This window comes from Homo sapiens, chromosome 6 (genome assembly GCF_000001405.40).
Source record: "Homo sapiens chromosome 6, GRCh38.p14 Primary Assembly".
Lineage (NCBI taxonomy): Eukaryota > Metazoa > Chordata > Mammalia > Primates > Hominidae > Homo > Homo sapiens.
The window spans coordinates 52,200,990-52,217,788 of NC_000006.12; the positions used below are offsets into that span (position 1 = coordinate 52,200,990).

The following is a 16,799-nucleotide window of genomic DNA, read 5'->3' on the forward strand; positions in this document are numbered from 1 at the left end:
ATCAAAAATAAAAAAAGATTATCTTGGAAATTAAAAACATCATAACTGAAATGAAACAGTCAATAGAATCCTGGAAGAGAAAGTTGAAAACATCTTCCAAAAAGTAGAGCAGAAAGATTAAAATATGGGAGAAAAGATCAGGGGTCCTATCCAGGACGAACTACTGTATATCAGAATAGAAAGTGAGTAATGGAGTAAAACAGTGAGTAATGGAGGAGAGGAAATCAGTAACTAAACACATGAAAGAAAATCCCCAGAACTGAAGAATATGAGTTGCCAGAGAAAGACTCATCAACTGTCTAAATGAAGCACTCACACCAAGCCACATCTTAGTGAAATTTCAGAATACTGAAGGCAAACAGAAAATTCTACAGGCTTCTTTGGAGAAAAACAGATCAGGTACAAAGGGCCAGGAATCAGAATACCTTCAGAATTCTCAACAATGACCCTAGAACCTAGAACAGAGTGGAAAAATGTACTCAAAATTCCAAAGGAAAATTATTTCCAAGATAAAACTCCAAACACATCATGAAACTATATGACTAAGGGAGAAAAAAGACATTTTCAGATAAGCAAGATCTCAAATAATTTGCCTCCCATGCAACCTTTCTTGTGAAACTACTTGAGGATGTGCTCCATCAAAACAAGATAGTAAACCAAGACATAGGAAGATATGAAGTACAGGAAACAGAGTCAACACAGGAAGGAGAATAAGGAATTTCCCTCCAGGATGGCAAAGGAGATCCCAGGGTGATAGCTGCACCAGGAGTTGAGAGTACCCAGTCTAGATTGGAGCTGTGTGATTCAAGAGACAGACATGTTAAAGGATGTTTGAGCAATACCCCTGAAGCCATGGAATGGTTTTGTGAATCTGAGGACAGAATGGCCAGGTAAGCCTATCCAAGGTTCTTACCTGTCCTTAGCTTCCCTTGGTTATAAGCTGATGAATTTCCTCTTATCTTCTCCTTGCCCCACTGCCTGGATTAAAGGCACTCATTTCCCCTTCAACCACCAAAATATCTGTGTGGACTTACCTTTGAAAACCAGAAATTAAGTAAGGTATGTTCAGAAACGGAAAATGCAGAGCACCCTGCTCACTTTGACCCCATTTCGGGTGGAAATTAAGAACCTGCATTTTCAGTTAAGGTAGGCTAAAGGGCTGAAGGACAGACCCAGACAGAAGTTTCTCACCCACATAATAGTTCAAGTGAGGTGTTCCTAGTGGGCATGTCTCCTCCATGTGGGGATTCCAGAACTCAGTCTCCTTTTCATCTCACAGATGTAGGGGAGCTGGGAAAGGAGGTCCCTGGAAGAGCAGATGCATCCCAAATAGAACTTTACACTGGATTCTGGGTGAAGCCGGCCAGGTCTTCTTCACTGGCCCTGCCCCATAGCCCTCAGTGTTCCCCCAAGTCTTCCTCATTATCTCCCCAGAAAGTGCTCTTGTAAAATCTCAGAAAAGCTGAAGCCAGACTATGAGCAAGATAAAGGAAGCAGCTCAGCTCCTGGGAGCCTCGTCTAACAGTGGGAACCTTGCCGTCTCCTAACCAGCTGGGTTTGTGTTTGCCCATTTGGTTCTTCAAAACTAAGCAACATATCATTTTTTTTTACAAAGAATTTATTAAATTAATAAATACTAAAACCTCAGTGAGAATAAATGGGTAAACGGCAGAAGTAGACAATTCATTGAAAAAAGAGATACAAGGCCAGGCACAGTGGCTCATGCCTGTAATCCCAGCACTTTGAGAGGCCAAGACAGGTGGATCATCTGAGGTCAGGAGTTCGAGAGTAGCCAAAAATTAGCTGGGCATGGTGGTGCGTGCCTGTAGTCATGGCTACTTGGGAGACTGAGGCAGGAACACCACTTGAACTGGGAGGCAAAGGAGCAACATATCATTTAAGGATGGAAACACAGGTGTGATACAGCTATAAAGAAAAGCAAGGAAAAGTTGGACACAAAAGTCAGGATAGTGGTTCCTCCTAGAGGAAAAAGAGGGAGAAAAAAGGGGCACCAGGGCTTCAAGGTTCTGGCAAGGTTTCACTTCCCAACCCGCATGCTGTGCTGTCTGGTGTTTGGGTTTGTTGTTTTTCCAATTTTTAAATCCCTTGTATATTTCAGTCATTTTTTGCATATATGAAATACTTTAAAATTAGAAGTTTTTAAAGCTGGGGAAGAAACCACAGAGAAAAAGAACAATAGATTTAGCTACACAAAACTGTAAATCGTCTGTATGTTAAACATTAAATAGAAAGGCTAACAACAAATTGAAAAAATATTTGCCACAAATGCTGCAAGTGATTAATATCCAGGGTATGAACTATGAACCTGAATACTAAACACAATCCCATCTCGCAGCCTTTGTTGTTTCTCCTTGCTCTTCCCTCGGCCAGGTACATTCTTCCACTGACAGCCTGATGAACAACTGTCTCCCTTCATTTGTGCAAATGTCACCTTCTCAGGGAGCTACTTCTGACTGGCCACCCTGGCACTCCCTTTCCAAATTCCCAAATTTATTTTTCTCTGTGACATTCATGTCCTTCTCATATCTATTTAATTTATTTATTCTGTTTTTGTCTATCTCTCTCCACCAGAATGAGAGCTCCATGCGGGCAGAAATTTTTGTCTGCTTTGTTCAATGCTGTGTCCCTAGTGCCTAGAACAGTATCTGGCACATGGTAGGTGCTCAATGAATATTTGTTGAATGAATAAATGAATATGAAAAGTCCACGATAATTGATAACACAAGCATTAAGAACACCTGCTGAAAGAACAAAAGATACAAATAAACAGTTTATGTAACATAAGGCATAAAAATGTCTTAGAAGCACATGGATAAATATTATCACTAATAAACAAATTCATATGTAACAATCTTTTTTTTTAGCTTCAATGTAACAATCTTTTGTCTATCAAATTAGTAAAACTTGTTTTTTAACTGTAGTAAACAGCATTGGCAAGAATATGCTAAACTGAGCAATTACTCACTGCTAATAAGTATAAATGAGTACAACATTCTGAAAAGCAATTTTATAACTTAATTCAAGAGCCTTAAAAGTGTTCATGCTTTCTGGCCCAGTAATTACACGTCTAGAAAGTTATCATAACAAAATAATTTAAAACATATAAAGAGAGAGACAAAACTGTGAATAAAACTTCCATAGCATTTGAAATAAGACATTGAAAAAAACAGAAAACTAATATGTAAAATTCCAGTAAGAGGAATGGACAATTTTTACTTTTTCTTTATAATTTCTTTTTTTGTTTGTTTGTTTGTTTGTTTTTTATTTCTTTTTTTTTTATACTTTAAGTTTTAGGGTACATGTGCACATTGTGCAGGTTAGTTACATATGTATACATGTGCCATGCTGGTGCGCTGCACCCACTAACTCGTCATCTAGCCTTAGGTATATCTCCCAAAGCTATCCCTCCCCCCTCCCCCCCACCCCACAACAGTCCCCAGAGTGTGATGTTCCCCTTCCTGTGTCCATGTGATCTCATTGTTCAATTCCCACCTATGAGTGAGAATATGTGGTGTTTGGTTTTTTGTTCTTGTGATAGTTTACTGAGAATGATGATTTCCAATTTCATCCATGTCCCTACAAAGGACATGAACTCATCATTTTTTATGGCTGCATAGTATTCCATGGTGTATATGTGCCACATTTTCTTAATCCAGTCTATCATTGTTGGACATTTGGGTTGGTTCCAAGACTTTGCTATTGTGAATAGTGCCACAATAAACATACATGTGCATGTGTCTTTATAGCAGCACGATTTATAGTCCTTTGGGTATATACCCAGTAATGGGATGGCTGGGTCAAATGGTATTTCTAGTTGTAGATCCCTGAGGAATCGCCACACTGACTTCCACAATGGTTGAACTAGTTTACAGTCCCACCAACAGTGTAAAAGTGTTCCTATTTCTCCACATCCTCTCACAAAATCATTGTGGTTTTGATTTGCATTTCTCTGATGGCCAGTGATGATGAGCATTTTTTCATGTGTTTTTTGGCTGCATAAATGTCTTCTTTTGAGAAGTGTCTGTTCATGTCCTTTGCCCACTTTTTGATGGGGTTGTTTGTTTTTTTCTTGTAAATTTGTTTAAGTTCATTGTAGATTCTGGATATTAGCCCTTTGTCAGATGAGTAGGTTGCGAAAATTTTCTCCCATTTTGTAGGTTGCCTGTTCACTCTGATGGTAGTTTCTTTTGCTGTACAGAAGCTCTTTAGTTTAATTAGATCCCATTTGTCAGTTTTGGCTTTTGTTGCCATTGCTTTTAGTGTTTTAGACATGAAGTCCTTGCCCATGCCTATGTCCTGAATGGTATTGCCTAGGTTTTCTTCTAGGGTTTTTATGGTTTTATGTCTAACGTTTAAGTCTTTAATCCATCTTGAATTGATATTTGTATAAGGTGTAAGGAAGGGATCCAGTTTCAGCTTTCTACATATGGCTAGCCAGTTTTCCCAGCACCATTTATTAAATAGGGAATCCTTTCCCCATTGCTTGTTTTTCTCAGGTTTGTCAAAGATCAGATAGTTGTAGATATGCAGCGTTATTTCTGAGGGCTCTGTTCTGTTCCATTGATCTATATCTCTGTTTTGGTACCAGTACCATGCTGTTTTGGTTACTGTAGCCTTGTAGTATAGTTTGAAGTCAGGTAGTGTGATGCCTCCAGCTTTGTTCTTTTGGCTTAGGATTGACTTGGCGATGCGGGCTCTTTTTTGGTTCCATATGAACTTTAAAATAGTTTTTTCCAATTCTGTGAAGAAAGGCATTGGTAGCTTGATGGGGATGGCATTGAATCTGTAAATTACCTTGGGCAGTATGGCCATTTTCACGATATTGATTCTTCCTACCCATGAGCATGGAATGTTATTCCATTTGTTTGTATCCTCTTTGATTTCCTTGAGCAGTGGTTTGTAGTTCTCCTTGAAGAGGTCCTTCATGTCCCTTGTAAGTTGGATTCCTAGGTATTTTATTCTCTTTGAAGCAATTGTGAATGGGAGTTCACTCATGATTTGGCTCTCTGTTTGTCTGTTGTTGGTGTATAAGAATGCTTGTGATTTTTGTACATTGATTTTGTATCCTGAGACTTTGCTGAATTTGCTTATCAGCTTAAGGAGATTTTGGGCTGAGACAATGGGGTTTTCTAGATATACAATCATGTCGTCTGCAAACAGGGACAATTTGACTTCCTCTTTTCCTAATTGAATACCCTTTATTTCCTTCTCCTGCCTAATTGCCCTGGCCAGAACTTCCAACACTATGTTGAATAGGAGTGGTGAGAGAGGGCATCCCTGTCTTGTGCCAGTTTTCAAATGGAATGCTTCCAGTTTTTGCCCATTCAATAATTTCTTATTTTATATGATCATCTATTTATTTTAAAATGGGGAGTGCTGTTCATGATCCGAAAATTGGCAGCTTTAAAAATTATTGCTGGTGCGGTGGCTCACACCTGTAATCCCAGCACTTTGGGAGGCCAAGGTGGGTGGATCACCTGAGGGCAAGAGTTTGAGACCAGCCTGGCCAACACAGTGAAACCCCATCTCTACTAAAAATCCAAAAAAGTAGCCAGGTATGGTTGACGGGCACCTGTAACTCCAGCTACTGGGGAGGCTGAGTCAGGAGAATCATTTGAACCCCAGAGGTGGAGGTTGCAGTGAGCCAAAATCCTGCCATTACACTCTAGCCTGGACAACAAAAGCATAACTCCATCTGAAATAAATAAATAAATAAGAATTATTGTTTGGTTATTTTGATAAGTTATTTTCAGTTATTTTCTTTTTTTTTTCTTTTTCTTTTTTTTTTTTTTTGAGACACAGTCTCGCTCTGTCGCCCAGGCTGGAGTGCAGTGGTGCCATCTCAGCTCACTACAAGCTCCACCTCCCAGATTCACACCATTCTCCTGCCTCAGCCTCCCGAGTAACTGGGACTACAGGCGCCCACCACCACGCCTGGCTAATTTTTTGTATTTTTTAGTAGAGATGGGTTTCACCATGTTAGCCAGGATGGTCTCGATCTCCTGACCTCGTGATCCACCCGCCCCAGCCTCCCAAAATGCTGGGATTACAGGCGTGAGCCACCACTCCCGGCCAAGTTATTTTCATTCTTAAATAAGTTATTTTCATTTTCATTCCAATGAATGGAAAAAATGAGATTATTTAAAAATGGCTCCAAGACAGAATCAACATCTGAAACCTAAAACCTCAGTCCAAATAACAAAGAGGAAACAAAAACAGGCCACCATGTCTATAGGCTATTGCATCCCCTGGTGGCAGCATACTCAAATAGACAAACGGTAAAGTGAAAACCTAGTCAAACTGGAAGAAAACTATAAAATCTAGCAAATACTTTAAAAACAAAGCTTCATCTTCAGATATCAGGAAAAAGATCTCATACACACAAAGCAATGCTAAAACATATGCTTTCATCTTTTTATGTTGTCAACATCAGCACCCTAGGATTAAAGACCTGGAGCCACATATACTGTGTTCTATGTCACTATTAAGTAACCATTCATGTTGAAGGACTCAACAAGTCTACTTAGAGACATAAATTTTCCAAATGGATTATTGATCAAATGAAATCACGACTGTCCCATCTCCATCATTTCCTGAGCCTTGGGGTGTCTCAAGTGACAAATAAATCCAACAGGATCAAAAAAAAATTATGGTGGCATGGCAGAGGTGGGGACACAGGAGGAAATTGGGTTCAGAAGCTTTTAAATATCAAAATACCATGAACTGAAATGCTCGGATAGTAATAGTAATTTTCTACCTCTCAAATTGGGAAAGATTTTAAAATATCATTACTTACACCCACTCTAATCAAGCTCTCACCCTGTCATTACCTCAAAACAGCTCCCACTAGCATCACTAATGACTATCATATTGCCAAATTCTATGGTCATTTCTCAGTCCTCACCTTACTCTTCTCTCAGCAATGTTTGAAACCCACGAGCTCACCTTCCTTCTTTCTCTTATTTCCCCAGCTCTTATTCTATGGCTGACCTTTCTGCCAGCAAGTTTTCCTTGTGTTTAAAAGCACTACGATTGAAGCATAAATGACAAATGGAAAGATGAAATACAGAAGCCCCACACTTACAAGCCCTTCCATATGCCAGGCATGTTCCTTAGGTTATCATATTTAGCCCTCATGGCCTCCCTCCCTTTGTCTGCAACATCAAGAAATTCATACAATGTTCTCACATATTTGTGGGACCTAAAAATTAAAACAATGGAACTTATGGACATAAAGAGCAAATGGTTACCAGAGGCTGGGAAGGGAAGTAGAGTGGGATGGGGGGAGGTGGGGATGGTTAGTGGGTACCAAAAAACCAAAAAGGACAAATAAGACCTACTATTTGATAGCATAACAGACAATGGACAATAATAACTTAACTGTACATTTTCAAATAACTATAAGAGTATAATTCAAGTGTTTATAACACAAAGGATAAATGCTTGAAGGGTTGGATACCCCATTCTCCATAATGTGATTATTATATATTGCATGCCTGTATCAAAACATCTCATATACCCCATAAATATATGCACCTACTATGTATCCATAAAAGTTAAAAATACAATTTTAATAAAATTTTTTAATAAATAAATTTTGAAACAAAAAAATGGAAAAAAGAAATGCATACCTTTGATGGATTCCTGAGTCATGGACCTCACCAACTTTCCTCTCCGCCTTCTTCTTCAGGTTGCATGGTTGGAAGGCCATGTCTGCAGGCTTCTTCCAGGCTACCAGCCAGAAAGTCTGAACTAATTTCCTGGAGGGAAAACAAAGGCCCCACCTTGAACAAATCCCAAGGCCAAGGGAAATCCTTGCTTCCCACATTTCTACAGCTGCCCCACCTCCAAGTGTGGCTCATACCCCCACCTGTGAACCCAGTACACCCGGCTGGATTTCACGGTGGGAGGATGGCCTTTTTCCCTGAGTATCAATGTTTTGGGCTCTGAAAGATTCTCAAAGTGTCCACCAAGAAGCCCTGTCTTATAGACCTACTGCAGGCCTGCTCTGGATAAACTTGTGAATGAGATGAAATCCAGCTTCTTTTGGCCCATTCAGTGATCCTTTTCCCCAGCATTTTGTCAACTGGCTGTTGACTGCAGTTTACCTTGCTAACTGAGACCATATTTCCAAAGGGAAAGTACATTAAGACATGAGGGATCTGTGGAGCTTGGGTACAGTGGCTTATGCTTGTAATCCCAGCACTTTGGGAGGCCAAGGCAGGAGGATCGCTTGAGGCCAGAAGTTTGAGACCAGCCTAGGCAATATAGGGAGACCCCATCTCTACAAAAAATAAAAAATTAGCTGGCACACAACTGTAGTCCCAGCTACTCTGGAGGCTGAGGCAGGAGTATAGCTTGAGGCCAGAAGTTTGAGACTAGCCTAGGCAACATAGGGAGACCCCATCTCTACAAAAAATAAAAAATTAGCTGGCACACAACTGTAGTCCCAGCTACTCTGGAGGCTGAGGCAGGAGTATAGCTTGAGCCCAGGAGTTTGAGACTACAGTGAGCTATGATCACATCACTGCACTCCAGCCTGGGTGACAGAGTGACCCTGTCTCATGAAAAAAATAAAAGGGGTCTGTGGGCCACACTGGGAGAGGAGAACTTGAGACGAAGATGTATAAACTTCAAAGTTTGAAACTTTCAGGATAGATTCAGTGATTTGGGGTGCAATGGAAAGAATATTTAAAATTCAAACTGGTTTACGCAATTGTAAGACAAACGGGGGCTCTTCCTTCATTTCAAAAGCATCCCTTTATTTACTTCTGCTCATCAAATCTAGCTTTCTATTCTCTCTGTATCTTTTCCTCAGCTGCCTTGCAGGAGGGTTTCTGATCATACTATGACATGAATGGTGTACATTAAATGTATCATCACTGCTCACACATTTTCATTTCCAGAGTGAAATGAAAGAATTACTAAGAAATATTAGAATTACTCTTATGGTGGGACATGCATCAGCAGCAGGTGAATTAGAAAAGCAAAGAAGCCTTTTCTAAATCACTAAAAACTTGAGGCAGCCAAGCATATGGTGAGTACATAAACTTCATTTTCGAGTGTTTCAGAACTGATCAAAATCTGGTGTTAGCTTTAGTAATTTCGTGACTTTAGGCAAATTATATGATGTCTCTGCACCTCTATTTTACATCATAAAAATAAAGATAGCAGTAGGGAAAAAAAGTAAGTTTATTTTGAGAATTAATTGAGGTAACATGATAGTGCCAGGGTGTACAAAATGCTCAATAAATGTGGCTTGTTACCGTGTTTTTTTATTGTATCAGCTGGGTAACTGGCTATACTATGTATAAAGTGACCAATGGGGAATTGTGACTTGCCACTAGTGTGGTGGTGAAGTATGAACAGGAAGAAGGTGACCCAACTGAGAGAGAGCTAAGATAACATCTGCTGCCTCACATTTGAATTTGCTGCCGGGGTAGGTTTCCTTTTCTGCTGCAAAGGCCCCTCTACCCTTCTGCATGGATTTGCATCCCATTTGGAGGTCAGCCTGCACCATAGTTGCTGCCTTCTAGTTGGCCCTAATCAAACACCAGCACAAGGAACTGAAAAATTCAATGTAATAATGTTTTTTGCTGATTTGATGAGTTTTCTCATTATTTCAAGTATTCATTGGGTGCTAAATCTGTGCATGTTTTATATTAGGCACTTATGGCAGTAAAAAAGAAACAAGGCCATCTCTCTAGGGTAGATAATGCCTACCATTCCTTCTCCTCCTCTTCTTTCCCTTCTTCCCCCTTCTCTCCTCCTTCTTTTTCTCTTTCTCCTCCTTATTCCAGCCTGCTTGTTTTAGATAAAAGTTCTTCAAAAAAGACAAAAGATACAGCTTCTCCAGAAGTAGGGGTGCATAAATAGGTCCATTTTACAGCTTTCCAAAGCCTTGGGCACTCTTTTGAAGGCCCATGCACATTAGACTAATCATAAAAATGCATTCACATCCAACAATTAGCATTACTCATAAATAATTATTTGAATTGAAAAAAATTACAGTTGACTAACATGATATTTCATTCTGTAAAAGTATGTAGTTTAACTTCATTTTGATAATTGTTGGCTTACTTTGGCATTTTGAATCCAATTAGTTTCTTTTTCCAATCCTCAAGCATGTTTTGGGATCTGAAAAGCTTATAAACCCTGAACACTGTGCCCTAGGGCTTTAAGGACAGAACAGTTCTGGCTAAAGTTGGGTTTAAATCCTAGCTCTGTCTGTTATTTAACCCTGTGAGTTTGAATAAATTACTTAAGCTCTCTCAGCCTCAATCACCCAATCCATCACATGAACCCATTCAGACACACTTAGCAAGTGCCAAGCCCATTGCTTTTGAAACCACCTTTGCAAAAATTATAACTGAGGAAATTATGACAATGGAAGAGATCAGACCTAACCAACTCCATCTTGCTTCTAACCTTTAAGCTGTCCTTGTTCATTCCTGGGCATAGGCTGGACTAACCTTGGGAAGGAATTTAGTTTATGGTTTGACTCTGAAACAAAATTGATAATAGCCCTTTCCCAAAAAAGACCTCCTTCTTGCGTTGGGACCAGTCTGCCTTTCTAGGACTAACAAATTAGCTACCAGACTAGAAATTATGGTTTAAGGGTCATGCAGCCTCTGGCTTCAAGAATCTGAACCTCCCCAGATTGCTGCTGGGGATAACATCACTATTGTAAAACCTAAGATCAGTGCTTGAGATATTTTGCAGACCCTCACTGGATGGATCAGCTGACACCACCCAGACCAGTAATCTGGCTCAAACAGTTCTGTGTTCCCACCCAGGAACAGAGAACAGCAAGAAAACCTCACTTCAACCCCTTATGATTCCATCTCCAACCTGACCAATCAGCACTCCCCATTTCCCAAGCCCCTGCCCCCTACCCACCAAATTATCTTTAAAAACTCCGATCCCCAGCATGCTGGGGGAGACTGATTTGAGTAATAATAAAACTCCAGTCTCCTGCACAGCTGGCTGTATGTGAATTACTCCTTCCCCATTACAATTCCCCTGTCTTGATAAATCGGCTCTGTCTAGGCAGTGGGCAAGGTGAACCCATGGGGCAGTTACAGTTTCCATAGAGAAACAGCTCAACAAATATTTCTTTTTACTTTCTTATTCAGAGTCTACAATGTAGAGTTCCCAACCAAGTTACTCAGAGCTAAATAGATTGAGGTTGAAGTTCCAAGGCTTAATCACTAAAGATCTCAAGAGGACTGTGTGGAAGAAAAATTCTACAGGAATGACAGATTTTCTGAGAAATTCCTACTCTCACACTTCAAGCCTCAGGCTTTGCATTCTGTGACAATAACAGCCCAACATTATTGGAGAGCAATACATCCTCAAACATTAATGGAGAGCAGCCATCCTTGGGATCCCAGCCTCAGGCATTTTACTTTCTTGTGTCTTTGTAGGGGGTTCTATGAGGAAGCAGGAAGTGATAAGAGAAGCTTACAGGTGGACTCAGGCAGCAAGGACTGAAACCAAATGCAGGCATCTAGGAACACCAGTGGTGGTGCAGGGCGTGCAAAGAGGCAGAGAGCACTTGGCTGCACCAACTGAACCAGCTTTTCTTGGTTGTTCAAACACAAATGACAAAATGCAGTTTACTTTTTTCTCAGATGTTACAACTGTCATCCACAGAGCCATGGATCAAATGCAATATGGATCAATCACTTTATTTTTTTAATTATGTTGAGCATTTATTTTGGGTAGACCACCATAGTAGGGGCTATGGATGAATGATGTGATTCCTGTCCTCAGAGAGACTACAGAGGGGAAAGCGGGAGTAGGGATGGACAATAAGTGCAAAGAAAGGATTGTGGTCTCACAGCAGGTATATGTAGGCTAAATTAGTGAGACAGATTACAAATGTCAAGGATGTTCAGAAGAAAGGCACTTCACTGTTGGATGGAATGGTCAGAAAGAGCTTCATCCAGAAAAGGGAATTTGAGCTGTGCCTGGGAAACATTTCGGAGTAGCTGAAGAGAGAAGTTAGAAAAGGAATTGAAGGCTTAGGAAAAAACAGAGAAAGAGAGAGTACACAGGGACATGACACATGATTTTTCTGTTTCTTTAACTACAAAGACATATTTAAAATCCAGGTTCACAAGTTCAGAGTCTGTCACAAAAAGACCAAGTCAGAAAGTAGAGTATTAAGCACCCATAAGAGATGCCTAGAAACTTCAAGGGTGGTGGTTTATCTTCACATGTCCCCACGTCCTCAGACACCAACTCTCACCAGGTGAGGGCAGAGCTGACAAGGCTGGTTCTCAAAGCATGAAGCTCATTCTTGGTGATTAAGGGAAATCAATATATGTCTGTGGTTAAAAGTAAGCAGACTTAAAAGGCTCAGATCAAAGGTGACCTATACTTCACATGCCTCATGCCGGAACACCAACATAGGTTACTCTCATGAGTTCCTGAAAGGAGTAACAATGCACAGTGGTTTGCATGCACCCAGATGTGTGCCAAATATGGATAATGGTGGTGGTGATGATTATTATTATTATGATATGAAGATTCAGTCATAAACATTTACTGAAGACACCCGTGACATTGATCCTGTGTCAATTATTGGGAAGACAAAGGTAGAAAGGCTGACTCATTCACTTTTGCCTGCCCAGTGCCTTCCTGGAGCAGTAGGTCTTGGCTGACGCTTCCTGGGTAATTATGGAATCACAATCTTGGAAGAGTTTAAATGGTCTTCCAGTCCATTTCTTTAACAAAAGATACCAGATAAAAGAAAGTAATACTATGCATATGCAAAAATATTATCAAGCCTACTTTTAAGCACTTTAAATATAGAAATACTACAATCCAGTGTGATTCATTACCTCTCCCCTCAAAAAAACAAAAAGTCCTTCTTAATATCCAACTGAAATATTTCTGTCTTAAATTTGGATCATGTAGCTTTATACAAAAAAATTTTACAACTATTAGTTTGGGGGAGATGCAATGGGATATCAAAGAAGCCATAATAAACTTACTTTTTAATCAAGAAAAAAATGAACACACATAATTAATTCAGGAATAAAGCAGCATTGGTCATAATGGCATTACGTAAGGATGTAACACTATGTTCAAATTGTATTCAGTGAATTTCATATTGCAAAGTGGCACTGCCATTTTGGGAAAATCTGTGACAATGTGAATTAAGTAATAACTACAGAGACACCTTTGTAGGGAACAATTCTGAAGCAAGAAACTTAAGTAGGGATGAGGGGATGGGAGCCCATGAACAAATGGAGAAGTCATCTTTAACTAGGAGTAAAGTCAGGTCATCCAGAGTTAAAGGAGAGTAAATGGGCCCAGAAATGTGGTTAGATGTATAGCACTTCTAGATGTTCTCTTCTGGGTTGCTTTTATTTTCTGCATAAAATAAGAGGCAAGGCCAACTACTGAGTGTAAAGATGGTGGAAGTTTGAGGAGTATATTAATATTGGAGATTTGAGGAGTATATTAATCAAGTACATCTGGAAATGAGAGGCAATAAATTGATAACTGGCATGAAGAGATAAGAGAAAATATAAAATTGTTAGGAGAGTGAGAGAGCAAATGGATGTTTGGGTAACATTACGGACCCAGTTGAAGTTAGTGGTCACACATTTAAAGTGAGACCAGTCAGTGTGGTTGCATGTTTTTCTCCAGTTACATTCAGCAGTGCAGCTTTAAGCACTGAATAAGTGAAGACTGGAATTTAACTGGAGTTGGGATTTTGCCAGTTGACTATGGACCAAGTGAAAGCCGTAAAGGACTGAAAGCATGTGCAAAAAGAGTGCTTCAAAGAGGTAAAGGGCTGAAAATGTGCAAAAAGAGTGTTTGTAATGATTGGCCATGGGATGTATGCTGGGTTAGAAGGGAGATAAGAACTTGACAAAGGACAGTAAATTGATTATAGGGTTTAATAGAGATGTGTTTAAAAGATTGTAGGAGTTGAGGTACTTGACTCTGATATCTAGTCACCAATAACTGTTTATGTTTCCATTCTACTTGCACCTCATTAGTTTAATCTTCTCTAATCAATGTGTCTGACTCCAAACCAGGCTGGAGAATGATGAATTTTATGATGTGCAGAATAACCAGTGTGGGGTGTGGGGTAAGGTGGGAATAAGGAAAGATCAGTTAAGGTTTAATGAGGAAGCAGTCAAGAGGAAGTATCTACAATACAATAAAACACTTAACTAGAAGCTGATATTCCCCCTTTAATACTACCCTCCATATAATAGGTAGTTGCTGAACATGTCTGAGGAATGAAATTGGATGGATGAATCCAGTTGAGAAGATATGATTTTCCTGAGGGAGAGAGTAATGAGTATGGTAGTGGCAGTGAAAATGACTAGAAGAGATGGATTTGAGAAATATTAAGGATAAAATCAACAGGACTTGATGGAGTGGTTGGGAAGAAGCAAACAGGAGTGCAAAGAGGCAAGGATGGCTCCTAGATTCTGACTTGGCTAATGGGGGTGGATGGCAATGTCTTTCAATAAGATAAGGAGTGGAAGAAAGAAGAATAATAGGTTTGGGGCCAATGAGAGTAGTGGATTACCTTTGAGCATGTTCTAAGATATCTGTGGGACACCCAAATGGAGATGTCCAGTGGAAAAATGGAGAAATGAGCCTGAAACTCAGCAGAGGTCTGAGGATCTTAAGGTAGCAATGTCCGTTAGGCAAAAGCAGGTGGGATCCAAAGCATGGCATGGACCTGTTAGCAAGTATCACAAACCATGAGTTCCTTTGGTGTCTCCTTAAGGGAAATTACAGAGTGAAAGGATCTGACAGCCAAAGATTGAAACTTGCACAACTCTTGTGTCTAAGGATCAGAAAAGAAGAGAAGAGCCCACAAAACAAAGAGCAACCAAAGATGTACACAAATAAAAATTGGAGAGAAAAGTGAACAGAATAGAGAACTTCAAGAAGGAAGTGGTCATCTGAATGAAATGTCAAGAAATGTCAAATAAGTTGTGATCTGAAAGGCATCTGTTAGCTATGGTGAACCAAGGCATTGAGCTCTACAAGAAGAAGGTAGAAGCCTTCTTTGGAGTGGTAGAGACCAACATCAGATTAGAATATACTGAGGAGTTAACAGAAAAGTAGGAAGTGGGAGACACAAGAAAAGGCTCTTTTTTGAGTAGCTTGGCTAAGAAAAGGAAGGAGATAGAGTAATGGCCATGGGAACCTATGAGTTATTCATAGTTATTTTTAATTTTGTTGTTTTGAAAACTGAAAATTATTGAGCATGTTGATAGGGAGGAAATGATCAAAGTTTGAAGATATAGGAGAAAGTCCAGGACAGTGAGAGTCTTTGGGCAAAGGCATACGGGGATCAAAAGCAGAGAAAGGTGTCCACTTCTTACCCTGTTGGAAGGCACAAAGGATGGTTTAGAGGGAGGTATGTTTATGTCTGCCTCACTTATTGAAAAATACATCTGTACTTATGCCCTCCACTTTCTCATCAACTATTTCTATGCATTCTGGCTTCTTCTTTTTTTTTTTTTTTTTTTTTTTTGAGATGGAGTCTCACTCTGTCGCCCAGCTGGAGTGCAGTGGCATGATCTCCACTCGCTGCAATCTCCGCCTCCCGGGTTCAAGAGATTCTCCTGCCTCAGCATTCCGAGTAACTGGAACTACAGGCACATGCCACGACGCCCAGCTAATTTTTGTATTTTTAGTAGAGAAGGGGTTTCACCATGTTGGCCAGGATGGTCAATCTCCTGACCTCAAGTGATCCACCCACCTTGGCCTCCCAAAGTGCTGGGATTACAGGCGTGAGCCACCATGCCTGGCCTGCATTCTGGCTTCTAACTCTACTGTTTTGCTGAAACTGAACTTCCCAAAGTGTCAAATAACCTCCCAATTTCAAATTCAGTGGCATCTTCCCAGCTCTTCTAAACCTTTGTGCAGCATTTACCCAATTGAACCCTCTCTCTTTCCTAAAACTCTGTCTTACCTTAGTTTCTGTGATACTGTGACACTCTTTCTCACCTCCCTATTAATTTATTCGGTCTCTACATTGGTTTCACTTCTTTGTCTTGAACCCTAAATGTAGGTGAGCTCCCGAGATCTGTGGCTTCAGCTCTTATCTTTACAAATATAGCACTCAAATTTACTTTCAGTCTCTCTTATGTGGCTTCTGCTGTCCAGGACTTTGTGGTTCAGACCTCTGACTCAAGACATTTGTTAAAAATGGAGTAGATCAATCAGAATCACTGGGCATTGTGAACAGCACCAAATCAGTAGGAGAATGGGAGTTATCAGTGATGACTGAACAAAGTTTCTGATATATGACTATGATCAAGTGACTGTGGCATGAATATGAAAGGTAGTAAAACCCAGTGTCACCTGGGGTGGGTTCAGAACAAAGGTGAATGCCAATCCACTAGGAGATAAGAAAATGGCAAATGGTGGACTCAGCACTAAGGAAGGATAAAACTGGAAGCAGATTACTCATAAGGGACGCGTGCACAATACTGTATGTTCTGTGAAGAGAGGTTCGTCAATACAAGATCAAGACAAGGTGACAGAAAAAGACAGGCAGAAAATCAATTTTTGTGATAAAGGCATCATCTAAGATGGACTTGCAACTGGGATTGGCCACTTGTACCTGCAAGCCCCAAGCAGTCACACCTAAACAAAAGGACAGATCTCTTTGGTGTAATGCATGTTTAGATCACTATATTGTAACACGCAAATTAAAAGTACATTGAGATACCTTTACACATCCACTAGATTGACCAAAATTTAAAAACTGACAATACCAAGTTTTG

At 40.1% G+C, this 16,799-nt stretch overlaps 1 long non-coding RNA gene across 2 annotated transcripts, besides 2 other annotated features; it reads left to right on the plus strand.

The window, feature by feature from the left end:
• Positions 1–501: 501 nt before the first annotated feature.
• On the plus strand, positions 502–7,251 carry LOC102724327 (uncharacterized). 2 transcript variants are annotated; one of them, XR_427954.2, is made up of 3 exons: positions 502–890; positions 2,593–2,676; positions 6,993–7,251. It is a non-coding gene; the product is annotated as an uncharacterized LOC102724327 (long non-coding RNA). The 2 variants fall into 2 exon arrangements; XR_007059608.1 differs by lacking the exon at positions 2,593–2,676 and having other exon boundaries at positions 504–890.
• Positions 1,968–2,137: an enhancer, noted in NCBI's record as "experimental_92072 CRE fragment used in MPRA reporter constructs". NCBI's record gives its function as "activates a minimal promoter by MPRAs in K562 erythroleukemia cells, with activity observed for both the introgressed and non-introgressed 6:52067840 variant alleles {active_cell/tissue: K562}" and the evidence as "EXISTENCE:reporter gene assay evidence [ECO:0000049][PMID:34662402]".
• Positions 9,285–9,354: an enhancer, noted in NCBI's record as "active region_24666". NCBI's record gives its function as "activates an Ori minimal core promoter by ATAC-STARR-seq in GM12878 lymphoblastoid cells {active_cell/tissue: GM12878}" and the evidence as "EXISTENCE:reporter gene assay evidence [ECO:0000049][PMID:35858748]".